This window comes from Homo sapiens, chromosome 5 (genome assembly GCF_000001405.40).
Source record: "Homo sapiens chromosome 5, GRCh38.p14 Primary Assembly".
NCBI classification, from domain to species: Eukaryota; Metazoa; Chordata; class Mammalia; order Primates; family Hominidae; genus Homo; species Homo sapiens.
Window position 1 is genome coordinate 146,369,131 of NC_000005.10, and position 26,874 is coordinate 146,396,004.

General features: G+C 42.8%; 1 long non-coding RNA gene across 1 annotated transcript, besides 1 other annotated feature; it reads right to left on the reverse strand.

Moving 5' to 3' along the window:
• Window positions 1–4,121: 4,121 nt before the first annotated feature.
• Window positions 4,122–7,829, reverse strand: LOC105378213 (uncharacterized). The gene is made up of 3 exons (XR_001742915.1): window positions 7,585–7,829; window positions 6,213–6,366; window positions 4,122–4,339 (listed from the first exon to the last, which is right to left on the reverse strand). It is a non-coding gene; the product is annotated as an uncharacterized LOC105378213 (long non-coding RNA).
• Window positions 25,732–25,901: an enhancer, noted in NCBI's record as "experimental_81818 CRE fragment used in MPRA reporter constructs". NCBI's record gives its function as "activates a minimal promoter by MPRAs in K562 erythroleukemia cells, with activity observed for both the introgressed and non-introgressed 5:145774510 variant alleles {active_cell/tissue: K562}" and the evidence as "EXISTENCE:reporter gene assay evidence [ECO:0000049][PMID:34662402]".

The following is a 26,874-nucleotide window of genomic DNA, read 5'->3' on the forward strand; positions in this document are numbered from 1 at the left end:
GTGAGGTTGATCATATACTGGTCTGGCTTATTCAGAAACACCACCTGGCCAGGAGCGGTGGCTCATGCCTGTAATCCCAGCACTTTGGGAGGCCAAGGTGGGTGGATTACCTGCGGTTGGGAGTTTGAGACCAGCCTGACCAACATAGAGAAACCCCATCTCTACCAAAAATACAAAATCAGCTGGGCGTGGTGGCACATTCCTGTAATCCCAGCTACTGGGGAGGCTAAGGCAGGAGAATCGCTTGAACCTGGGAGGCGGAGCTTGCAGTGAGCCGAGATCGCGCCATCGCACTCCAGCCTGGGCAACAAGAGCAAAACTCCATCTCGAAAAACAAAACAAAGCAAAACAAAAAGCAGAAACACCACCTCATCAATGTCTGGGAGAGGGCACATCCTGCTGGAGCTGGGGTGGAAAGAAGCAAAGCAGAGAAGGACTGATGCTAAAGGAAGCCGCCATGCGTTATTATTATTTTTTGTTTATTTATTTCTGACCTCACTATAGAGAGGATTTCATGCAGTTTACCATGGGACAGAAAAACTTATAAAATTCTGAGTATGACTGGAAGACGGTATAGCATTATAAATAAGAGACCACTGCATTGGTATCTAGGCTCTACCACTCACGGGCTGCATGAACTTGGGCAGATGACTTAATCTGTGTGCTTCAATTTTCTAATCTTTAAGATGTGAATCATAACCACGCTTACCTCCCAGGGTTTCTGTGAGGATTATGCCAGAAAGTAATGTGAAATAGCAGAACAATGCCTGGCACATGGTAAGTTCTCAGTACTATGATGATTCCTTTGTCCTCAGCTCCTCTGGCTCCAACACTTAGGGTAAGTAAGTAGCTAGTTACAGGGAACAGAGCCCTGTGTTTAATGTGTCTATTGAGTGAGAGCCTTCTGCAAGTACTTATTGGCAAGACAGACTTCTGTGGATGAGTTATGTAAGTGGCATCCCAGAGGTCCCGGCATGGATGCAAACCAATTAAGTTAAGCACCTACCGCAATCACAAGTGCAACCCATAGGTTTAAGAGTGGGAAGAGAGTACATGTGAACTTGGCTCTGTACTACTTTGCTTTGTCAAATCTATTAGAAATATAGCCAATGAATTCTTCACTCTAGTTCTAAATTTTGGAGCACTTTTTAATCTAATTGGCATAGAGTTCTTGATCTACCTCTTATTAGCTGGACAACCTTTTAAAATACTCTCTAAGACGCCATTTACTCATCTGTATAAAAAAAGTTTAATGCAGGAATCAGAAATCACCATAGGAATTTTGAGGCACAAAGGGAGTTAATACTGGAATTAAGTACTTTAAAAATTATTGGAAGGGCTGAAGGCAGGACTCTAGATTGAGTATGTAGAAATGACTCCTGAAACATCGCAGATAATCATGTGACCTTTGTCACAATCAGGATGGTGAGGAACCAGCAGCTTGCCACTGGAGTACCTGAGGTCCAGAACACACCATCTCAGGGACTATTCGGACTATTCGGACATCAGCCTCCACTGCCACTCCAATTATCTGGACACTGGACCACTGAAATCAGTTGCCAACACTGCTACAAATGCCTCTGAAAGCTGGAGATGAGACATTAGTATCTCCATAATTTTTCTTGCAAAGTGAAAAACAACAAACATAGCAGAAAATTGCCCTTTCTCTCATTTCTACCTCCTGAATCTTGCCCAGATGCTTTTACTTCATGGAATCTATCTCACATCTAGACCCTAGCTGCAAGGAATTCACGAAATGAGCTAGTTTTCTAGCCTTCAGAAAACAGAAAGTTCCCTCAAAGAAGGTGGAAATTGGTGCTAAGTACCAATTGACCATATCCATCCCAGAAAGTCATGATTGTAACTACCTTATAGAATTATTGTGGGGATTAAGTAAGATAATAAAATACATTGAACACTACCTAGCAAGTGGGTAATCAATAAATTAATTATTTCTACCACTACTACTGCAGTGGGATTCAATACTTCATCTTCTAAAAATACACAAAGGCAATCGTGCTTTCTTCACCTGCCAGGCTAATTTTGCTGGGGTGGGAGAATTCTCTACTTGGCTCAGAGGCCTCAGTGGCCTCAATAGCTCCCTTCCTACCTGAGGTCATGCTACAGGTGGCTGTTAAAGCCCTCCTTGTCTATGTGCTAGAGCCTTGGAGAATCCTTCCAGGCCATGCCTCCTCTCCCTCATTCAAAAACCCCTCTCCCTATCCTGAACTCTACAGTTCCCATCCTGTTGCTTCAGGCCCAATTTCTGATTCTTTGCTTGCCCCCTTCCTAGTGACACTTGAGCCAAATGAATTGCTTGGCTTTATCCCAATTTCATCTCTGGCTGGTGTTATTCCCGCCCCATATGCAGCCTAGGCCTTGGAACCCTGCTCTAGGAATGCAGCCTAAGATTCCTAGGACGGGAGATCAGCCAATAAACTACATATAATCAGATATAAAATGAAAGAATGACAAAAAAAGAAACGAAAAAAAATTAACCAGGAGTGGTGGTAGGCACCTGTAGTTCCAGCTACTTGGGAGGCTGAGGCAGGAGGATCGCTTGAACCAGGGAGGTAGAGGTTGCAGTGAGCCGAGATCGTGCCCACTCCAGCCTGCTGGGTGACAGAGTGAGACTCTGTCTCAAAAAAAAAAAACAAAAAAAAAAAACGAAAAGTCCCCAGAACTCCAAGATAAAGCTCTAGCAAACCCAGTTGGTCCAAGGTAAACACATGTGGGAAATGGAGAAAACGGATTTTCAACACCTTTCCACCCCCATTTTGTTGTTGTTCTTTAGTGTTTCCCAATTACATGTTGAGCTTGGGAGTTGCCCTTTTACTCAGAATCTTAATAGACATTCTCAACAAAGCTTAGTTATTCTATATTTCAATTGTTTTCAAGATCTTATAAAGTGATAGAATGCTCAGTTAGTTCAGGAGTTCTCAAGCCTGCCTGTGCCTTAGCTCAGCTCAGTTGAATCAGAATCTCAAGGGGGCAGGTGAGGTCTGGCAGTAATATTTTCAAAAGCTGTTGAGGAAGAATAGTTACAACGTGTGGGGTACATTGTAGAGTCAAGAACCATAGAGTTAACTAATCTGACAACCTAAGTAGGGTTGACGTATTAATGTGGGCAAATAACTTTTTTTAAAAAATTAATTTTTTTTTTTTTTTTTTTGAGACGGAGTCTCGTTCTGTCACCCAGGCTGGAGTGCAGTGGCACGATCTAGGCTCACTGCAAGCTCCGCCTCCCAGGTTCAGGCCATTCTCCTGCCTCACCCTCCCGAGTAGCTGGGACTACAGGCACCCGCGACCACGCCTGGCTAATTTTTTGTAATTTTTAGTAGAGACGGGGTTTCACCGTGTTAGCCAGGATGGTCTGCATCTCTTGACCTCGTGATCCGCTTGCCTCGGCCTCCCAAAGTGCCGGATTATAGGCGTGAGCCACTGCGTCCGGCCTTAATGTGTGCAAATGTCTTAATATACTGCTCCTACTAGGACAGTTGTATTTCTCTTTCAGGACTGTCTGCAGACAGTACCATAAGTCAAAAAGTAAATTAATTATGGCATCTCCAGGCCCCATGGCAGTATAAAGCAATAGGTAAAGTTTTGGGGTGGGACAATATTTTAATATCCCTTGGGTAATATCATTTAAGCAGGTCACTTTTCCACATATGCAGAGAAGCAGTCTTGGAGGTTAATAGTTACTTATTGATAAAAAATATTTTATTCTGTAAAATGAAATTACACTTCATTCTTCTGTGTAATCCTGAGCAAGTTACTTAACCTCTCTTAGTTCCCATTTCTTTCTTTATTTAATATGAAGAATAATAGTAGTGACCTCAGAGAGTTGTACTATGAAAATTATATGTAAAGTACCTGGCACCTTAGAAGTGAAAAATAAATTTGACCTATTACTGGATGATCATTTATTTATTGGCACTGTGTTCAGAAGCCATTTGAAAACTAGGTGATGTGAGCAGGTAAATAAATTGGATCTTCTCATGTCTGTGATCAATGGAAGAAATTAAAGTGTTCCCTTCCAGGAACCCCTGGAGTACTACTCAGCATGGAATAACCTTAAAGGAAATTTCCAATAAGGATGACAAGTTTAGGATTACTTACTGGGTTTGTATATCCAAGTCGAACTGCCCTGCTTGGAAGTTGCAGAGTCAATGGAATAGGTAACATGTTCCGAGTTATTTGCTCCACCACTTTTCACATGAACAAGATTGCCAAGGTTTGTTATATGAATAAGGCCAACATAGATGCAGAAAGGTGAGGGGTGATGGGAAATCCAAGATGTTCTAAATGCCATACATTCGCCATGGCACGAATGGCAATCCTGAAAATTTAGAAACAGCTCACATACAAAAATACCAGGTAGACTATGAAGTGTTTGCTCATTGATTTCATGAGCTATAATGAGCACTTACTGTATGCTGGGCACTGAGGTAGTGCTATGAAGAAAAAGGTAAGACATAGACCCAGCCCTCAAGAGGACAGGGACCCCTGGGAGACTGACCAAAAAAGAGATAATTATTTTTATTTATTTTGAGACAGGGTCTTGCTCTGTCTCTCAGGGTAGAGTGCAGTGGCATGATCACAGCTCATTGCAGCCTTGACCTCCCGGGCTCAATCCTCCCACCTCAGCCTCCTGAGCAGCTGGACTACAGGCACACACCACCATGCCCAGTTAATTTTTGTATTTTTTTTGTAGGGGCAGGGTTTTGCCATGTTTCCATGTTGCTCAGGAGATAATTATTAAACAATGAAGTTGAAAGTAATAGTTTCAGGCAGGGCGTGGTGGCTCACGCCTGTAATCCCAATACTTAGGGAGGCTGAGGTGGGTAGATCACTTGAGGCCAGGAGTTCAAGACCAGTTTGGCCAACATGGTGAAACCCCGTCTCTACAAAAAATACAGAAATTATCTGGGCACGGTGGCACATGTCTGTAATCCCAGTTATTCAGGAGGTTGAGGCATGAGAAATACTTGAACCCAGGAGGTGGAGGGTGCAGTGAGCTGAGATAGGGCCACTGCACTCCAGCCTGGGTGATAGAGTGAGACTCTGTCTCAAAAGAAAAAAAAAGTGATGGTTTTAGGATGATTTTATAATATTGAAAGAATAAGAAGACATTGAATTAAAATGTAGGATACAAGGTGGTATATAGAGTGTAATTCTCTTGATATTGAAATATGCCTAGAAAAAGATGGAAAAGAAATACAACATGTAAAAATGCCAGCTAGTAATTTTATCAAAGTGGTGGGATTATGGCTAGATTTATTTCCCTTCAGTTCTATCTATCTATCATCTATCTATCTATCTATCTATGTGTTTTGTGTTTTGTGTTTTTTGTTTTTTATTTTTGAGACAAGGTCTTACTCTGACACCCAGGGTCTCACTCTGACACCCAGGCTGGAGAGCAGTGGCTTGATCTCAGCTCACTGCAGCCTCGACCTCCCTGGGCTCAGGTGACCCTCCCACCTCAGCCTCCCGAGTAGCTGGGACTACAGGTGTGTGCTACTGTGCTTGGCTAATTTTTTTTTTTTAATTGTGTAGAGGCAGGGTTTTGCCATGTTGCCCAGGCTGGTCTCGAACTCCTGGACTCAAGCAATCTGCCAGCCTAGACCTCCCAAAGTGCTAGGATTACAGGCATGAGCCACCAAGCCTGTCTCAGTTCTGTACATTTTTTTATGTATTATTTTCTTAATGAAGAACTTCACCATAAATATTTTTAAAATGAACACTCATTTTAAAAAGATGTCCTGAAATGAAATCAGAAGTGATCTAACTCTCTATCTCTTTGCCATATCTGCCCCAGTTTAGGTTTCCTGAAAGCAAAGACTGAGATACAAATTTGGGTCAGATGTTTTCTTTGGTAGGTGATCCCAGGAAGCCTAACTGAAAGAATGAGGAAAATGAGACACAACTCAGAAAAGCTAATAAATAGATTTGATAACCTTGGGCTGGTTATCACTGGCACAACTGGAGCCCAGCCTCCCTGGGGACCCTCTGAGGAACAAGGTACACTGTGCCTCAGTGGAACTGTCCCTTTGAAAGATGGGAAGCTGGGCATTTATCCACTCACTCCTATGCCCAACTATGGTGTTCCTGGCCTAGGTGCCATCCTTAGCCTTGGAGAAAGCCTGAAGGCAGACTAGCTGACAGACAGCAGAGGGGGCACATGAATTGACCCTGTGTGAAAAGTTACCCACCACAGCGCTGAAATCACGCATAGGCGGGGCACAGAAAGCCCCTGCAATATCCAAACAGGTCTCCACTGAAGGGTTCTGTCCTCATGTCTCCTGTGCGGTGTTTATCAACAACTCAGAAACCTGGAAGGCTGGCAAATTCAGGAACAGCACAGAGCTGGGAAAAAAAATTCTATGAGTACCAAGTTCTGAATGATCAAGAGATTAGAATGATGAACTAGATTTAAGGGTGGAATTTAAATAGGCAGGAATGCAGATTAAAAATTTATATATAGTTCCAAACAAATGCAAAGGGAAAGGATTGGAAAACATGGCTTAACAGATGAAAATTTTAAGCAACCAAATACATGTGGGTTTGAGTTAAACCTGAACATAATATGTGTTTAGGTTTCTGTTTCCAACAGAAATTTTATTCCATCTCACATTGCAATTTCTGTTCTGAATGAGGGGATTAAAGACCCATGGGACACTCAACTAGTTACTTAGGAAGTAACTAGTACTTCCTATGTACTTCCTATGGGCTCCACCGTAGAAGGTGGTACTCCACCTTTGGGTACCTGGTTGGTATCACAGTGAAATGATGCTTGACATCTCTGGGTGTGTAGACTAATCAACTGGAGCAGGGTACAGGAGAATCCCCAGTGTTGCCTATGAGTGATAGAGAGGCAGAAACCATGTTCTTTTGGCTGAAGGGACTGAGGGAGCTTAGCCCAGAAAAGAGAATCCTCAGAGAGGCAAGAGGGGAGGCAAGACAGGAGCGCGTACCTCAGATATCTCAAGTACTGAGCATGGTGGCTCACGCCTGTAATCCCAGCACTTTGGGAGGCCAAGGAGGGAGGACTGCTTGAGCTCAGGAACTCAAGACCAGCCTGGGCACATACCACAACCACATCTCTACAAAAAAGTACAAAAATTAGCCAGGTGTGGTGGCACATGCCTGTGGTCCCAGCTACTTGTGAGACTGAGGTGGGAGGATGGGCTTGAGCCCAGCAGGTCAAGGCTGCAGTGAGCTATGATTGCGCCACTGCACTCTAGCCTAGGTGACAGAGTAAGACCCTGCCTCAAAAAAAATAAATAAATAAAAAGAAAAGAAAAAATATCTCAAGGGTGCTTGAGAGGAAGCAGTGAGAGGGAGGAGTCATTATGGTCGAAAGCATGGGATGTAGACTTAGACACACTTGGGTTTGTGGGAATCCTATTCCGGTGGTTGTTGGCCCCCTAGCCTTGGTCAGCTTGTCAGTAAAATGACACACTAATGATGCCTATGTCATGTGGTTGATGTGTGGATCAAATGAGATTTATACCTAAGTTGCTTAGCACAGTATCTACACACGTATAAGAGATACTCAAATAATAATGATAGCTAGGAACTTACATGAAGAGGAGTTTGACTTAATCTCTGTGGCCACACATTGTTGACCTAAGACAACTAGAAGTGAGTTATTTGAGCTCAATCTACAGAAGGCCTCTGACACCATCAGAGTGGTCCAAAAATTGGATAGACTGCCTTTGGAAGAATAAAGTCCCCAATACTGGTCATAGCCAGTCAGATGGCTTCTGGCTGAACCCTTGGAGGAGATTCCAGAGCTCTTTAAGTCTACATCTGGACTCTTCACTAGGCCTTTGCCATCCCCTGTGTTCAGCTTGGAGTCACCAGTGGTGAAGGTTTCCATGGGAACCACGAGGGGTTCAGAATTCTGTGTCTGAACACTGCATCCCAGAGGGAAGAGACAAGCACTGAAGCAGTCTCCCCAGTAATAGTATGCATTTTTTAAACTGTCTAATTAAATATTAACCCCAGAGACAGAGAATTAATGGGTCTCCTATGTAAACTGTGTGCATCTCATAACCATCCGGGAAAGGGCTTAGGTAGATAGAACACTCCAAGGAAATTAAACCTATATACACATCTCCTTACTCCATGCCATCATGACAAATGGCACAGAGGGCTGCCCTGGGGTCACTGCCCTCTTTGTATCTCCGTTATTGATGACAGCTGCCCTTCCACTGGTGCTTCAGGTGAAAGTAGGGTGGGGGTGTCATGAGGAAGGGCCTGGAGCAAACTTGACATCTTTGATCATTTTCTGCCTTCTCTTCTCACCTACTTTTTCTTCCATCTCTGGAATCTCAAAGTATTAGATTCGCTAGAGGGGATGGAGGCAAAGGGTGAAAGAAGTAGAGGGGTGGTTTTGGGATTAAACATAGACGTGGTAGGAAACAGTGGAGTAACTGGGAATCAGAAGACATAGGTTTTTGCCTAAGCTTTGTGATCTTGGACAAATTAATTGATCACTCTGGGCCCCAGGCTCATTTCTTGAAAAAGAAAAATGAGGATCTGAATGACAGCTCATTGATTTACTTCATTTTTAGAGACAGGATCTAGCTCTGTTGCCCAGGCAGGAGTGCAGTAACATGATCATGGTTCACTTCAGCCTTACACTCCTGGGTTCAAGCGATCTTCTTGCCTCGGCCTCCCAAGTAGCTGGGACTCTAAGCACAAACCACCACCCCCAGCTAAGTTTTTTAATTAATTAGTTTTATTTCTTGTAGAGAAGAGGTCTCGCTATGTTGTCTAGGCTGGTCTCAAACTCCTGGCCTCAAGCAGTCCTCTTGCCTCCCAAAATGCTGGGATTACAGGTGGGATCCACTGTGCCTGCCCAAGCAAACATTGAAGATCTCCTATGTGCCTGGGTACAGTGATGAATAAGGCCTAGTTTCTACCGTTGAGGAGCTCACTGTATAGATACACAGAGTCCATGTATCCTTAGGTGGTCAAAGCATGGCCTTCCAGGAATCTGTGAAATCTTTGCATTTGCACATCAAATTTGTGTGTATGTATTTTTTTTGTCGGGGAGGGCGGAGACTTGCTTTCTTCAACTCCAGGTTCTTTTTATTTTGAGACGGAGTCTTGCTCTGTCTCCCAGGCTGGAGTGCAGTGGCGCGATCTCGGCTCACTGCAGCCTCCACCTCCCAAGCAATTCTCCTGCCTCAGCTTTCCAAGTAGCTAGGATTACAGGCATCCACCACTACACCTGGCTAATTTCTGTATTTTTAGTAGAGACGGCGTTTCACCATGTTGGCCAGGCTGGTCTCAAACTCCTGACCTCAAGTGATCCACCCGCCTTGGCCTCCCAAAGTGCTGAGATTACAGGCATGAGCCACTGTGCCTGGCCTCTTCAAGTTCTTATAGGGATTCATGACCCTCCAAACAATTAAGAATCCTTGGCCCTCTTTCAGTTCTTCCCAAACCTCCCTCTGTCATTTGTGTGCTCTTTAACATCTTTGCCATATCTGCACATCACTTGGGCATAATTTAATTTTTCTTTAAATAAAATTGGATGCAAGATATCTACTTTGACAAAACCCATGAAATTGTGAGTTGGTGATACATAATGCAGATATATAAGACAAACACAAATCCATTAAAATAAAAAATGTCCTTTAGCATGCCACCCCAAATAACCCTCCTTCACCACCGATGCTACACATCTCATAAGCAGCAGCAAGCACTGGTCTGCTGGTTCCCTCAAAACCCTTCCAGCTGCAGGCACATTAGGAATTTTCCACCCACCTTATATCCACCTCTCCTCAACCTCCCCTGTAACCAGTCAAGGGGCAGATATGAATGTCATGCCTTTCCCCATTGTCTAACTTTGTGATCAGACATCGTGTGAGGCAGCTGCCGAATCCCAGCGCTGTCCCTGCACCCAGGCCGGCAGCAGGGGACCCCGCGTCTCCACCTTGAGCCTCCCCTCCCTGCTGCGGAGGCCTGCGCTCCTGGCCTTGCCACCGCCTGGCCGACTTTCTCGTGAATGACAGGGCCTGGCAGAAGGCTGGCAGTGAATGGAAGCAGTCCTGACACCCGAGCTGTGTGCGGCGCGCTAATTACACTGATGTGGGGTCTGGGCCGCGCAGTCCTTTGCTCAGAGGAAGGATGCGATGCAGGCGCGGGGAGCGAGCGGCACTACAGAGGAAACGCGGGAGCAGCAGCACCTAGGCGCATCCATAATTTATAAAATGCCAGCAGCAACAAAGGCAAAGAGGGACCAGAACCAGGAGAACAGAATAGCATAAAGCTTTTTAATGGTCTTTTTCTATTAATATCAGATGGGCGACCGTTTTTCAAGTGGGTGGAAGGGTTCCAAGGCCCCACAGTTCAGTCACAAAAGCTAAATGCTGCCATTTACCCCTCCTCCCCAAGCTTTACCGAAGAGCTTAGTTGTCCTAGAAGCCAAACGTAGTATTTGAGGTTCATGTGGGCATCTGATTCTTCTAAAGGAGCTGCCTACTCTTTTAAAGGAGTTTCTAGCAAGACAATTGGAACTGCTCCTTTTTTTGTGTGTGTAATAATACTTTTACTGGCATATAACTAGTTCTTTTGTGATTAGTTATTGTTCAGGGTAACTGAGAGCATCCATCTCTTTCCTCCTTGATTTGTAAGATTATTTTTCTACTTTTAGTATTCAGTGACGCAGGCTACTCATGTAGAGGATGCATTAGGCATCAGAGATATTCTTCATTCCAAGGTGTTCCTGGATTCAAGAGGAAACCCTTGGAGAAAATTTGCCAATAAAGAATGTACAGGAAGAAAATATTGGCCCAGGACATTATTTTTCTACTTCGAATGTCTACGATATGTTGATCCAATGGGCAAGATACTTCTGGAGCATGATGATGGCTAGTACAAGTGTTTTATGATCAAAGAAAATTCCGGGTTCAGTGGATGGAATTAGGCCTAAATAACAAAACAGCAAGGCCAGGCACAGTGGCTTACGCCTGTAATCCCAGCACTTTGGAAGGTCGAGGCGGGCAGATCATTAGGTCAGGAGTTCGAGACCAGCCTGGACAACATGGTGAAACCCTGTCTCTACTAAAGATACAAAAAAATTAACCAGCGTGGTGGCGCATGCCTGTAATCTCAGCTACTCGGGAGGCTGAGGCAGAAGAATCGCTTGAACCCTGGAGGCAGAGGTTGCAGTGAGCCGAGATCACACCATTGCACTGCAGCATGAGCAAGAGGGCAAGCCTCCATCTCAAAAACAAACAAACAAACAAAGAAAAACAAAACAAACAAACAAACAAACAAACAAAACAATAAGCAGCCAAAGAAGAAATCATCCAGGCTGGGCGTCATGGCTCATATCTATAATCCCAGCACTTTGGGAGGCTGAGGTGGGCAGATCACCTAAGGTCAGGAGTTTGAGACCAGCCTGGCCAACATGGTGAAACCCTGTCTCTACTAAAAATACAAAGATTAGCCAGGCGTGTTGGAGTGCACCTGTAATCCCAGCTACTCGGGAGGCTGAGGGAGGAAGAGGATTGCTTGAACCTGGGAGGCAGAGGTTGCAGTGAGCCAAGATTGTGCCACTGCACTCCACCCTGGGTGACACAGTGAGACTCTGTCTCAAAAAAAAAAAAAAAAAGAGAAAGAAAGAAAGAAAGAGAAGTCATTCAGAGGGACAAAAGGAAGAGAAATTGATGCCAAAGCAGATTTGAAATATTCACCAACCTCAGATCACTGATGCTTAATTTGGATGCCAGGATGACTCATTCCAGTGTGTATTAGTTTCCTACGGCTGCTGTAACAAGGTACTTGTTAGCAAAAATTTCTTGTCTAGCCAAATTTTCTAGACAGGTGGTTTAAACAACAGAAACTTCTGGAGGCTAGCATTCCTTGATAAGGTGTCGGTAGGGTTGGCTCCTTCAAGACTCTGAAGGAAAATCCATTCCTAGTTCCTAATGCTTTCCTGGAAATCTTTGGCATGCCTGGATATGGAGATACATTACCTCAATCTCTGCCTTTATCTTGGCATTCTCCCTGTGGGCACGTCTCGGTTTAAATTTCCCATTTTAATGAGGACACAGTAATCTTAACTTGACCATCAGCAAAGATTCTATTTCAATTAAAGTCACAATCACAGGTACTGGGGGTTAGGGCTTCACTATCTTTTTTTTTTCGGGGACACAATTCAACACATAGCAGAGTGTACATTGTATTATTTTTCTATCTTCCCACAATTTCCCTAGACAAATTCTTCCATTCAGTCCATGTTAGAAACTGGATGAGCCCTACATTCAAAGAATTTATAGTGTAAACCAACAACGTTGACGTAGCTAGCACAAGTGTGCCCCAAAGAAGGAAACTTGACTTTTGAGAGCAATTTGGCAAAATCGGTTAAGGTTGAAGATGTGCATGTCCTATAACTCAGTCATTTCACATCTAGAGACACAAGAAGACATGCACAGGGATGTTCACTGCATCACTGTTTACATTAACAAAAACCAAGAAACAACCTAAAGTTTCAGCAGTAGGGAAGTGGGTAAATTGATTGTGTGATTTTGTATGACAGATTAAATAAATACAACAGATCTATGTGTAGCAACACTGATAAGTCTCAAAAATATAGTAATGTTTAAGTATACATGCATAATAAAAATGCCTTTTTTTTTTTTTGAGACAGGGTCTTGCTGTGTCACCCAGGCTAGAGTGCAGTGGTGCCATCTTGGTTCACTGCAACCTCCACCCCGCCAGGCTCAGGTGATCCTCCCACTTCAGCCTCCCAAGTAGCTGGGACTATAGGTGCACGCCACCATGCCTGGCTAATTTTTGTATTTTTGGTAGAGACGGGGTTTCGCCATGTTGCCCAAGCTGGTCTCGAACTCCTGGGCTCAAGGGATCTGCCTGCCTCAGCTTCCCAAAGTGCTGGGATTATAGGCGTGAGCCACCATGCCAGGCCAAAAATGCCTTCTTAATTTACATTAAGATAGTGGTTACTTCAAGGGGCTGGAAGGAAATGGAATGGTGGAGAGGTTCAAAAGTTATATCTACTGTAATATTTGGGTCTGGGACAAATACTTTTATTTATTTGTTTATTTTGAGATGGAGTCTTGCTCTGTTGCCTACAGGCTGGAGTGCAGTGGCAGGGTCTCAGCTTACTGCAACCTCCGCCTCCCAAGTTCAAGTGATCCTTCCACCTCACCCTCCCCAGTAGCTGGGATTACAGGAGCACATCACCAAGCCCAGCTGATTTCTTTGTATTTTTAGTAGAAATGGGGTTTCACCATTTCGGCCAGACTGGTCTCGAACTTCTGACCTGAAGTGATCTGCCTGCCTCGGCCTCCCAAAGTGCTGGGATTACAGGCATGAGCCACTGCACCCGGCCTGGGACAAATACTTTAAAATATTGATTTGTTAATTTGTGTGGTATGTCCTTGGTTTTATTAAACTATTCTCTGTGCTTTTTTCTTTCATTGAAAGTAACAATAAATTTAAACTGCCTTATGAAAAACATTTTAGAGATCTACTATAGATTTTTTTTAAGTTTTTACTTTTTAAAAGAATTCACTTCTTATGTTTACACAAATGTGTACATGAATTTTCATAGCATCATTATTCATAATAGCCAAAAAGTGTAATCAACCCAAATGTCCATCAACTAGAATGGATAAACAACTTGTATGGTGCCTATAAAATGGAATAAGGCCAGGCAGCGTGGCTCACGCCTGTAATCCCAGCACTTTGGGAGGCCGAGGCAGGCAGATTACCTGAGGTCAGGAGTTCGAGACCAGCCTGGCCAACATGGTGAAACCTCGTCTCTACTAAAAATTAGCTGGGCATGTGGTGGGCACCTGTAATCCCAGCTACTCGGGAGACTGAGGCAGGAGAATCGTTTGAACCCTAGAGGCAGAGTTTGCAGTGAGCTGAAATCGAGCCATTGCACTCGAGCCTTGGCAACAAGAGTGAAACTCCGTCTCAAAAATAAAAAAAATAAAAATAAATAAAATGGAATATTATTCAGCCCTAAAAATAAGTGAAATGCTGATACATGCTACAAAATGGATAAGCCTTGAAAACATCATGCTAAAGAACATAAGATAGACACAGAAGAACACATATTATATATGATTCCTTTATATGAAATGTACAGAATAGACAAATCCACATAGAAAGTAGATTAGTAGTTGTCAAGAGCTGGGGAGAGTAAGGAATAGGGAGTGACTACTAGTGAGTTTGTGGTTTCTTTGGGTATGATGAAAATATTTTGAAATTAGTTAATGCTCATTGCTGCACATCTCTGTGGATATACTAAAAACCACTGAATTGTACACTTTTAATGGGTGACTTGTGTGGTATATGAATTATATCTCAATAAAATTTTTTAAAAGGATTCACTTATAGGAGCAGGGTTCCTTTAATTAACAGTTCTCTTAGTACTTTGCTTTCGTGTTTGTTTTTGTTTTTGAGACAGAGTCTCGCTGTGTTGCCCAGCCTGAAGTGCAGTCGGTGGTGTGATCTCGGCTCACTGCAACCTCTGCCTCCTGGGTTCAAGCAATTTTCCTGCCTCAGCCTCCCAAGGAGCTGGGACTGCAAGCACCCAGCACCATGCCCAGCTAATTTTTTTTGTATTTTTAGTAGAGACGGGGTTTCACTATGTTGGCCAGGCTGGTCTGGAACTCCTGACCTCATGATCCACCCACCTTAGCCTCCCAAAGTGCTGGGATTACAGGCGTGAGCCACTGCACCCTGCCTCTCTTAGTACTTTGAAAGACTGAGTACAAAAAGAGCATCTATATGCACAGATAAGATCAAAATATTAGGGATTGTTACCTCTCAGTGGTTGGATTAAGGGCAATCTTTTGGTCTTTTTGAAAAATTATTTTTCTGTATTTTGTAAATGTTCTACAATAAATATTCTAATTTTACAATAATTTTTAAAAGAATTGTGTTCAAGATATTAATTGCTTAAGTGGAATGCACAGAAATTTAGTTTTTTTTTTTTAATTTTTATCATTTTATTTTTCCATAAGTTATTGGGGTACAGGTGATATGTGGTTACATGAGTAAGTTCTTCAGTGGTGATTTGTGAGATTTTGGCACACCCATCACCTGAGCAGTATACACTGCACTCTATTAGTAGCCTTTTATCCCTCGCCCCCCTACCACTCTTCACCCCAAGTCCCCTAAGTCCATTGTATCATTCTTATGCCTTTGTGTCTTCATAGCTTAGCTCCCACATATTAGTGAGAATACATGATGTTTGGTTTTCCATTCCTGAGTTACTTCACTTAGAATAATAGTCTCCAATCTCATCCAGGTCACTGCACATGCTGTTAATTCATTCCTTTTTATGGCTCAGTAGTATTCCATCGTATATATATCTACCACAGTTTCTTTATCCGCCCATTGACTGATAGGCATTTGGGTTGGTTCCATGATTTTGCACTTGTGAATTGTGCTGCAATAAACATGCATGGTGCACAGAAATTTAGAGCTAAAAGTAACAATAAGTGCTAAAATTTACTGGGTGCTTACTTTGTGCCAAGTACTGTGCATTGTTGTGCATTGCCCACAAAGACGAGGACAAATCTCATTTTAAAAACATCGATTATGGGGCTCAGAAACATTAAGAAACTTGCCCAAGAGAATATAGCTAGGAAAAAGTACAGTTAAATTCCATCTTGGGCTAGCTGCCTCAAAAGCCATACTTCTTACTGCCACACTATCATGCCTCAAAAGACTGAAGCTCAGGCAAAAATGAGGCCATTCCAAACTTGGGAGCCCAGAGAAAAATGGGTGTTTGTTAATTGAACAACAACAAAATCCCCAAATCATTTACATGTATCTTTCCAGAAACACACCTGTTGTTTACTTTGTCATATTTGCTCATAACCTTTTTGCAACTCTTTCTCTAGAGTTAAGTTAAAAAGAGAAAGATCTTGACATTTCTTTTCGCATACAATTAAGCAATCACTGGGATACATAAAGGCTAATTCTAGTCTGGGATAACAAGGAAGTGTACAAGGTTATTTAACTACAAAGGCATCAGAATTCTCAGCCTGCTACATGTGCCCAACACAAAGAAAAGTGGGTATTTGATTGCTCTCCAGTTTCTCTGTCTAGGGATTCAGCCAAATGGAATCATCCAGACTCAAAACATACTTTGGGGCCTGAATTTCCTATTTCAGCTGTCTCCACTAATCAAATGAGCCAGGTAGGGGAGATGCACAGCTCACATGCTCCATCCATCAATGTCCCAGGCTGAATTTTGGGATTTGAAACTCTAATTCAGAGGAAGGAGGAAGATTGGCCAGAGGGAGGGCAACAGCATGTTCTGTTGTAACACATGGAGATTTGTCTATATATTTATGCCCAGGAAGGAGATAGAGAATGAAGAGGCAGGTAGAAATTATAGCCAAAGAATGGGTGTTGCTGCCAAGAAAAGCTACACTGGAGGAAATCTTGGTTTAAATGTTTATTATTCAAGGCCCAACTGCATAAGATCTTGCATGCAGCTTAACACTCCGGTACTTGAATCTCCTTGGGGATGTGGTGAACGTCCAGTCTCTATTCCCTCTTCCGGCACCTCAGTTTTCCTTGGGACATATCCACTCCCCCTCTTCGTGGGGCTGTCAATTAAGACATCCTTCTTTTCCCTAGACAAAGGTTAGTTTGTGACCCAAGCAGGCTGCAGCCTGAGAGTGCTACCTTCAAGAGAGAGTTCTTAGCAGTTCCTGCCACACAGGTGCCCAAAACTGCTTTGGTTCCTGTCCTTTCTGGTAATTTAGTTTCATGTGTTTGTTTGTGTGAGCTCTCTCATAGCCTTTGGATAAATCCTTTTTTTTGGGGGGGGGGTTTGTTTTTGTTTAGCCAGTCAGTTTCCTATCACCTAGCTGATGAGTCCCCCTCCTATATTTTATGTTGCTGTGTTTCCATTTCATGATGTTTCAGTGGTTAAAGAGAAACTTGAATTTAGAAACTGTTCTGAGGATAGCCACAAAAACAACTAGTGGGTAGTAGATTTTTGGAGCCTACTTAAGGAAATATAATTTTTTCCAAGAAAGGAAATTTGAGATGAGTTAGTATAACTGTCTTTGGCTGAGTTGGTGCTCTCAAATAACATGGAATGTTGAGGAAATTATCATGGAAATTCGGCTGGGTGCAGTGGCTTATGCCTATGATCCCAGCACTCTGAGAGGCCAAGGTGGGCAGATTGCTTGAGCCCAGGAGCTTGAGACCAGCCTGGGCAACATGGCGAGACCCTGTCCCTAATTTTAAAAAATAAATGGGAATTATCTTGGAAATTTGGAAATTCACATGAAAATGTTTTCTCTGAGATATTTTGACACCTGGGATCAATGTGTCTTTTAAGAGAGAATTTGTGTGAAGATTTGGGCCCAATTCTTTTCTAATTCCCCTTCGCATATAGATATAATGAGCTTCTTCAAATAATTGTTTACATTTGTTGTCTAGAATTTTCATCTCCTAGTTACTTCTTAATTCACTGCAGTCTGGTTTCTGCCTTCTCAGCTGCCATAGTTAAATCCAGTGGGCCCTTTCCAGGCGCTATTGTTTGGCCTTTTGGCAATATTTCACGTTGTTGACCATTTCTTTCTTCTCAAACACTTTCTTCCTTTGACTTCCATGACTTCACATTCTCCTGATTTTTCCCTCCTACTTCTTTGGCTGATTTCCTCTCAGCTTCTTTTGGAGGTTCCTTCTTCTGCCCATCCTTTAAATGTTGGCATTTTTCAGCGCTTTGACTTAAGTCTTCCCTTCTCCATACCCAACACAGATGATGGCTTGTTTCATTCCCATGGTTTCAATTACCATATATTTGCAAATAATTCTTAATGTGCCTCTCCCCACACCTCTCTCTCTCCTTCCTAAGTTCCAGATCCTGTGTATAGCTGCTCTTTGAAATACACTTTTGGATATGTCACAGATCACCTGAATCCCAACATTTCCAACATTTATTCTTCCATGTACCATATTTCAGTAAATGGTATCATGAGCCACTCAGTTTTCAAAGTCAGAAACTGGAGCATCCTCTTTGACTCTTCCCTTTCTTTGACTCTCCCCTTTCTTTGACTCTCCAAAGCCAATAAATCACTCAAGACCTGTCAATTCAACCACCTAAAACATCTTGTGAGTCCATTCATTTCTCTCCAGCTCCACTGCCATATGCCTAGTCTAGGCCACCATTGTCTCTCACCCCCATGACTGCAACAGTCTTCCAGTGAGTTTTGCTGTCCCTAGAGGTGTTTTCCTCCAACTTTTTATCCACATCAAGCTGCCAGAGTGAACTTTTCAAGGCACAAATTAATGATGTCTGTTTAAACCTAACAATGCTGCCCCTAAGATGAAGCCCACATTATTGATATAATGGCTAACCTTCCAACACGCTCTTGCCAGCCTCTCCAGCCCCATCTCCATCTGTTTTCTCTTGCCTCTCTGTGCTCTAGGCACCATGAACTCTCAAATAGTGCTCTCTGTCTCCACCAGGCTCTCACACATGTTCTTACTGCCTGGAACACTTTCATCCTTCCTTCTTTCCACCTAACTCCTTCTAAACTTCTGCATCCCTTTCTCCTGGAATCCTTCCATGAGTTTTCCCTCCTTCCTTCTTCTCCTCAAATGGGTTAGGTGCCTCTGTTATGTGTTCACGTAAGACTCTCTTTCTCCCCAATCATATCCCTTGTTATAGCACATTGAAATCATCTGTATTTAGCCACATGACTATGAAATTGGGGGAGATCAGGGACCATGGTTTCTCACCATTGTATACCTAGTGTCTAGCTGATAGTAATCATTCTGCATTTGTTGAATGAACTAAAATTAATTACATAAAAGAATAGTTGCTCCTTATCACTACTAAGAATGCAAGAAGAGGAAATAATTAAATAGAAGCATGGGAAGTTTGATTAAGCTATTTGAAAAATATTTCTGTAAGTTTGAGCTAATAAACGCTAGTCTTGCTCTTCTGGGGAATGATGTCATCTCCTCAGGAGACATAAAAATACAACAACAGCAAGAGTCTTAGCTGCTTAGCAAAGCAGCTAGAAGAGAAGACTAGATGACATCTCCAGACCTGCATTGATTCTATGAATTCATGAAAAGCTTGCCAAATTTGGGATCTGGCTGATTCAACAAAGTGCTTTTAATCTACTTCTATGTGATAAGATTATATGCACATTATAAAAATGTGCATTATTAAAAGATGAATAGCTTAAATTCTGAGAGGAATTATTATAATTTTCCTTTACATATATCTTGGACTACTATGTTTCCTGTTTTCACTTCATCATACTCAATGAAAATCATCTACCTACTCTGAACTTGTATCCCTGCAGCTGAATGTGCTGGAGAAAATCCCACAACCACATTGGCAGGTCTTACCTTAAAAGGATGGCTTTGAAGCTCAAGTGTCTCCTTATGCTGCCAAGCAACCTCTTATTTGCCCTGGTTTCATTCACTCTCCTATAGCTGAGGCAACTATTTTACACATTTTTCTCTCCAAGTCTCCAACGTCTTCTCTGCAATCCTCATTTTTAACTGGTGAGTCAGTTTTATACTTCATCAAAAAAGCCGAAGCAATCAGCAACCAAACCTAAACCTCTCATTTTCCTCCACCTACTCTGCCTTCCTGTTATTGTTGATGAACTTTCCATACACTATCTAAGCTGATTCCTTTCCTTTTGAACTAAATCCTTTTCTTTCTCACCTACTTCAAGACATAACTCCAGCAAATCTGTCCTTTCTCCCCATATAATCAATTTTTTACTCTCTACAACACATTTTTTGCTCTGTTGTTCCTACCTTACAAAAACCTTCACTTGACTCCATTCTCCCTGCCAGCTGCTACCCTAATCCTTTGCTTCCCCTTTCATCAAAACTTCTCAAGAGTTGTCTGTGCTTCCTGTCTTCAATTTATCTTCTGTCAGTTTTCTCTTTTTAAAAAAATTTTGTTTTCAAAAAATAGAGATCAGGTCTTGCTCTGTCGCCCAGTCTGGTCTTGAACTCCTGGGCTCAGTAATCCTCCTGCCTCGGCTTCCCAAAGTGTTGGGATTACAGGTGTGCGCCACCGCATCCAGTCTCTCAATCTCTCTTGAACCCAATTCAGTCAAGTTCCTTCCAAACTGCTCTCATCCTGTTTACTGATAACCTCCACTTGGCTAAAGCCAATGGTTAATAATCAGTCCTCATCATTCTAAACCCATAAGCAGCATTTGACCAATGGATGCCTCCTTTCTCTTTGGTAAACTTTTTCATTTTGTTTTCAGGATAACACATTCTCTTTATTTTCTTCTGTCTCACTGCTTAATCCTTCACAGTCTCCTTCTCTGGTTCCTCCTCTTCTCTCCAAGCTCTTAACTGCAGTGTCCTGGGCTCAGTCCCTGCACCTCTTCTCCATCTACACACACTTTATTGGTCATCTCATCATGCCCCATCTCAATTCTGTTGACTCACACATCTTCATTTCCAGTCTTCATCTCCCTCCTGAATTTAAGACTTATATATCCAACTGCTGATTCAACATCTCCATTTGGGTGTCTAATAGACACTTGAGACTTAATGGGTCCAAGGCTGAACTCCCAGTCATCCTCACTAAACCTGCCCTAGCCCAGCCATCCTTTCCCATCTCACTGTATTGTAATTCCATCCTTCTAGTTGCTGAGGCCAAAACCCGTAGTGTTATTCTTCACTCCAATTCATCAGCAAATCCTGTTAGCTCTGTCTTCAAAATATATCTGCCCACTTCTTACACCTCCACGGTTACCACCCTAATCCAGGATATTGTCATTTCTTACAATAGCCACCTAACAAATAGGTTCCCTTGCTTCTACCCTTGCCCCTCTTTGTTCTGTTCTCAACAGAGCAGCTAATAGAAGTCAGAGTATGTCTCAAAATCATTGCTCAGAACCATTCCCTCAGGGTAAACACTGAAGTCTTTGCAGTGGCCCACAAGGCCCTGCGTGGACTGGATTCTTGCCCACTCTCTGACTTCATCTTCTACTCCTCTTCCCTGCTCATGGCATTCAAGACACTGGCTTCCCTGATGTTATGTGAACATGCCAGGCCACTGTGCCTTAGGATCTTTGCTGTGGCTCTTCCTTCTGCCTGGAATGCTCTTCCCACAGGCATCTATTTGCCTATCTCTGTCACTTCCCTTAAATCTGTGCTCAAATCTCACCCCCTCCCCTTCTGAACATCCTCTATAACATTCCCCAGGCCCAGCACTCATACTTTTTACCCTGCTTACCTTTGTGTTTTTAAAAAAACAAAACATCACTTTCTAATTTACTTATCCTTTTTACAGTCTATTTTCTGACTGTTTGTGGATTTATATTCTACAAAAGCAGGGAATTTTGCTTTCAGATATAATTTTCCCAAGCCTCTAGAATGAATAGGATTTCTCATCTTTGACACTACTGACCTCTGGGCTGCATAACTCTTTGACATAGGAGGCTGTTCTGTGCATTGTAGGATGTTTAGCAGCATCCATGACCTCTAACCACTAGCTGCCAGTAGCACACCGCCTCCTAGTTGTGACAACCAAAACTGTCTCCAGACATTGCCCCATGTCCCCTGGGGGGCGCAAATAGTCCCCAGTTGAGAACAACTTTTCTAAAAGAGTGTCTGCCACTAGCAGACATTCAATAATTATTTGTTGAAGGAATGAAAAAAGAATGAGCAATTTTTAGGTACCTTTATTCTTCATGTATTCCCCCAGCATTCATCACTTACCACAGTCATCACCAGGAGCAGCTCTCAATCTAAAGAAGTGAAAGGCTAAATCTCAGGCATTCGTAGGATACAATGGCTCTCTCTATTATTGTTTTGTGAAAGACAACATGTAGGGGAGAAAGATATGATGGGAAGGGTAGTAAAATAAAATCAGGATAAAGACACTCTGAGAGGCATGCCACCTAGCAAGGTATTGCTTATGAGAATTGTGTGGATTTGCTCAATAAGATTTGTAGACCTTGAGACAATAAGCTTTCTTTCACACTGCTTCCTTTCTGTTTTACAGCCATTGTTCTTCCCCAACACACCTATGGATCAGTTTGAGGTTTCAACATTTGTTTATCTCCAAAGATAGTTGTAATAAAAATAACATTAATAATAAGAATGGTGTTTGTTGAACACTTACTGTGTCAGGCCCTAGGCAGTATCATTTAACTCATAACAACCTTTTGGGGCAGTTCCTACTGTTAGCACCCGTTCTACATATGAAGAAACGAAGGCTCAGAAAGGTTAAGTAATTTGTTCAAGGGAGCACAGCTAGTAAATGTCCAAGGCAGCACAGCTAGGATTGAGAATGAGCTAGAATGACATAGTAATGAGTATATAATATATATAATATTACTCATATATAACAGGTATAGCATAAGTAATATAGTGACAATCACAAGACTTGTGCAGAAGCCAGTCTCATTAATTAATAGCCACGTATGCCATCTGAGGCTATCACTTCTTTTCCACGGTCAGAAAATACATAGCACATTATTATAAAGACAATAATAATGGAAGACTTTTGCTGGTTCTTTGATTTGAATGCTCTTTTTTATTTTTAAACAAAAAGTACTCTATAGGAAAGAATGAAGCCATTAGTGCTGTTCAGTGAAAAGACTTAGTGGACTTTAGCATGATTTCACACATAAGGAAAGGCTGTCACTGCCAAAGAGTATTTTTCCTAAAGAATGTTTCCAGGGCCCAAGAGTCCTTTAAGCTAAAGTACTTATTTGTTGATTCATTGTTTTTTATGCTGAAAGGTACATCAGATACATGGTACAAAATGCAGAAGAAAGGAAATGATCTAGAGTGAAGAATAAGTGTCCCCTCCTCTGCTGCCTCCCAGCAACCCAGCTCCTCTTTCTAGAGGCAATTCTTGTCTCCAGTTCCACATGAGTCCTCGCAGGCCAGTGCTTAAAGAAGCATATAGAGGACTTCAGGGCTTCATCTGTAGAAAGCTTCCCTGTTTCCAGAGCATGTCCACATGCATTTTCTCATCTGAACTTCTCAGCAAACACCCCAAATGCATGAAAGAAATTTGTTGATAAACTCCATGCTTGTCCCCTTCATGTGATTCATCCAGGGTCCTAAGATGAGGACTGGCATTTAACCTCTGGAAAGTACGTGGAGCCCCTATTTTCATTCTCAATTGCATTGTTTAACAAGGTCTGACCTTTCTCTTGCAAGTTGCTGCAATCTCTTCACCCTTTTGCAAAAATCTGATCACAAAATGCCCCATGGGCATTAAGTCATAAAATCCAAATAAAATGGGTAAGACTTGACGATGTCGGCTTAAAAAAAAAAAAGTAGTGATCGTTGAATTTCCTTTCACATGCATGTTTCTCCCCTCCTTTGCTGGGCTCAGATGCCAGCTGTACGTTGCCATGGTCTGAAGAAGGACCTGTGGGTCTCCCCTGGCAGATGCTGCCACTGTTTTAGCCTGAGGGCCCTGCAGGCAGCCCCTGGCAACATTTTTAATTCAACATCAAACTGCAACTTGAAATTTGAAAAAGTGGGGGAAAAATGACAAGATGTCAATGTCTCAGAACCTAGCAAGTGGGGCTTGTAAATATACCCGATTTGGATTTCTTTGAGCTGGGGGAAGTTTCTCATTTTTTGTAGCCACTGGGAGTGACTGAACCCCATCAAAGAGACCTTAAAGGATGCTGAAAGAGCTCAAAGGGGATGCTATGTCTCAAGAAGAGAGCTCCAGACCTGGTCAGAGAGCCTTTTAAATAAGTCAGGTGGCAAGCTGGCCAGGACACATTCTTAAGTCAAAAAGGCAGATTGTAAAACAATAAAGGTCCCATCTTTTGGGGGAAAAAATATGTGTGTGAATGCACACCAAGAAGTTTGGAAGGCAATACTCTGTAATATTTAAAATCTCTTCTTATATCTTTATTGTCTGAACTTTTTGTTTACAAAGATCCTATATATTACTTTTAGAACGAGAAAAAAATACGGTTTGTATAAAATTTGAAAATAAAAAAGATAACAAAGCTGAGTTCCTATTCCCTCAGTACCCACAGGCTCCTGGAACAGAACGTAGCAAGTCCACCATTGCCCAGGCAGCTTGGCTGAGTGCTTAAATCTCCAGATACAGTTCCAGGGGCTTGTTCATCCAAAAAGGTACCTGGCACAACGTGAGCAGCAGTTCTGCCACAGCTCCCAACTTCCATCTGAGTAGAACTTCACAGCTACCCTTGCTTTCATCATTTCCTTTCACACCCACAGCACGTCTGGAAAGTATATGGAGCCACTCTTTTTAGTCTCAACTTGCAGATAAAGAAACTGGGTGTCAGAGAAATTTAAGAGGAAAGCAGTGCATTTGAATGGAAACCTTGTCTTCTTGAAGTCTACAGCGTTTACTGCCACATGCTTTAAGATGTGTATGCATTGGGGAACGATCTTGTGGATTCCTGACCATACACTGCTCATTCGGGTGGTGGTGAAAAAACTTTTCTCTAGAACCAGAAATGTAAACTTGGGACTCATTCAGGGCTGATGCATCTCAAGGTAATACTACATTATCACCCCTGAGAGTGACATTGCCAGATAAAGGCCTTGCTGTTCACTGAATGGTGCCATCTTACCTGGCCACCAAAGTTGATTTTGCAGGATTTTAAGGGGCTGAAATTCTGGCAGGGTCTGTTTCTTGTTCACCAACCTAGCTCTGGTGCCTAGCACAGTGCTTGAAGCATTGTGACTCTCTTTTTTGATGAACAAATGAGTTTGGATCAGAGGTTTAGGAGAGGGAGCATCTTCCTTCTCTTCTCTAAGCTCTGAGTCTGGTTCTCCCTATGGCTCACTTTTGATCCTCTCTGCTCATCTTCTACCACTGACAAAACCTGTCTGCTGATTAGAACTTTGACTCAGAAATAAGTGGAATGGATAATAGAGGTGAGGATTTGGGAGGAGTAGAAAAAAAAAAAGCATTCTAAGAAGAGAGTGGTGGGTAGTAAAATCTTATATATATATAAAAGAGCCCTTTGCTCCCCCATCCTCCTGAAAAGAAACGCAATTTCCCCTCATTTCTAGCTGCTCTGAGCACTAGCTATAAAAATAAAAAATGAGAAATAGAATCGGTTGTTGTCATTTCAAATACAAATGGGCATGTACATTCAGCCTTTATGGCTAGATAACTTCCACTTCCAGTGCTCGGTATTTATTGGCTTTGACTTATTGATAGAACATCCTGGGGCCTGAAGTCCTCCTTCCCACAGAGCAAAGACACCATCAGCAACCGCTTTCTCCTCTCAACCCATGAATAATAATGTGAATGATGATGACGGTGTTATTATTATCATTTGGTATTTAGCCAACGTCTTTCCCCGAAGTACTTAAAGCACTTTATAGGCATTGCCTTATTATTCCTCACAATACCTCCCTGGAGAGAGGGCAAGAACAGAGATTTGATTTCCATTTCACTGAGAGGAGAAGCAGAGACCCACAGCAATGAAAGGGCTGCCCCAAGGTCACCTGGAGAAACTGGGCTGAGGTTAGGACAAGAATCAAGGTCTCGTAATGGCTGTTTAAGGGCGCCTTCCCATCCACCACCAGGGAGGATGAGTCATTAGCTCATTCTCTGAGTTCTAAGTGTAATAAGACATTAAAAGGGAAAATTTGGCAGAGGTACCTTCTAAAGGGAGGTGCTGGAACAAAATACAAACATTTTCAAAGTAGGTACTGAGAAATCCCCCACCTATCTCAAGGGTGTAAAAGAGCCAGGAGTTGGCACTCAGAGGGTTTTTGAAGAAGATTTCTTCACCCCCAAGGAGAGGGGTGGCAGCTGCACTTTATCTCAAGCCTAAGGCAAATGACTTTAAGCAGATCTCTCAAAGAGCTTAAAATGAGTCCTTTGCTGTTTGTGGTATACGGTGGACAGGTGTGAGTTGTGTCTGAGAAATTTAAGGATGGGAAATGAGGTTGGCTAGAGTGGCCTCTGGCCCCTGACCAGCTGGCCGCGACTTGGAAAATAATTCCTCTCCTGGAGTTTGATGGAGTAAAGAATGCATGAGTGTTTCCCATGACCAAATATGGACCAAGCGCAAAAGAACGCCAGTATGGAGCCATCTTAGATGCTACCCAAGAGGACCACCTGAAGAGGCAACGGGACCTTGATAGACAGAAGCTGGAAGTGGAATCTGAGATGCCCGGGGGCTATGGGTGGAGCCACGAGCAATCAGCCAGAATAGGAATGCATTCATTCGTGTCAAGGAAACTGAAGCGAGCAATCTGCATTGATGGGGGCCTCCCAAGAACCCATGAAAGCCCCTGAAGAGAAACAGTCAGCTTCATGCTTCTGCCCTCTCTAGGGAGCACTTAGCACTACTACTGGGAGAACTCTACTGCTCCCTTACCCTGAGGAGTCAGGGATGGGGGTGGGGAATTAGAAGTACTTAAAGAAGCCTAGCACAACCCTTTCCCCAAATCCAGGCCTAAATGGGGGCAGGGAGGTGAACATAAGCCCTGTCTAAATTGTCATCCAGAAGCCAAACTCTCTCCACAGGGCAAATTTAAATGGATAGAGGAGGCAAGAATTAAACTGTACATTTATGAGACATGTTCATTCAACTTATACAAGTTTTCAGGGGGCTGGGTTGTGCCACGATACACTGAAATGTAAACCTGTGTTGCTCACTGTCTTTTATACCCAATTTTATCTGCTGTCACAATAGCAGCTACGTTTTTTGGTGGTTTTTTGTTTTTGTTTTTTTGAGACAGGGTCTCACTCTGTCACCCAGGCTGGAGTGCAGTGGCGCAATCACAGCTCACTGCAGCCTCGACCTCTCAGGCTCAAGCGATTCTCCCACCTCAGCCTCCTCAGTAGCTGGGTCTACAGGTGTGTGCACCACAGCCAGCTAATTTTTT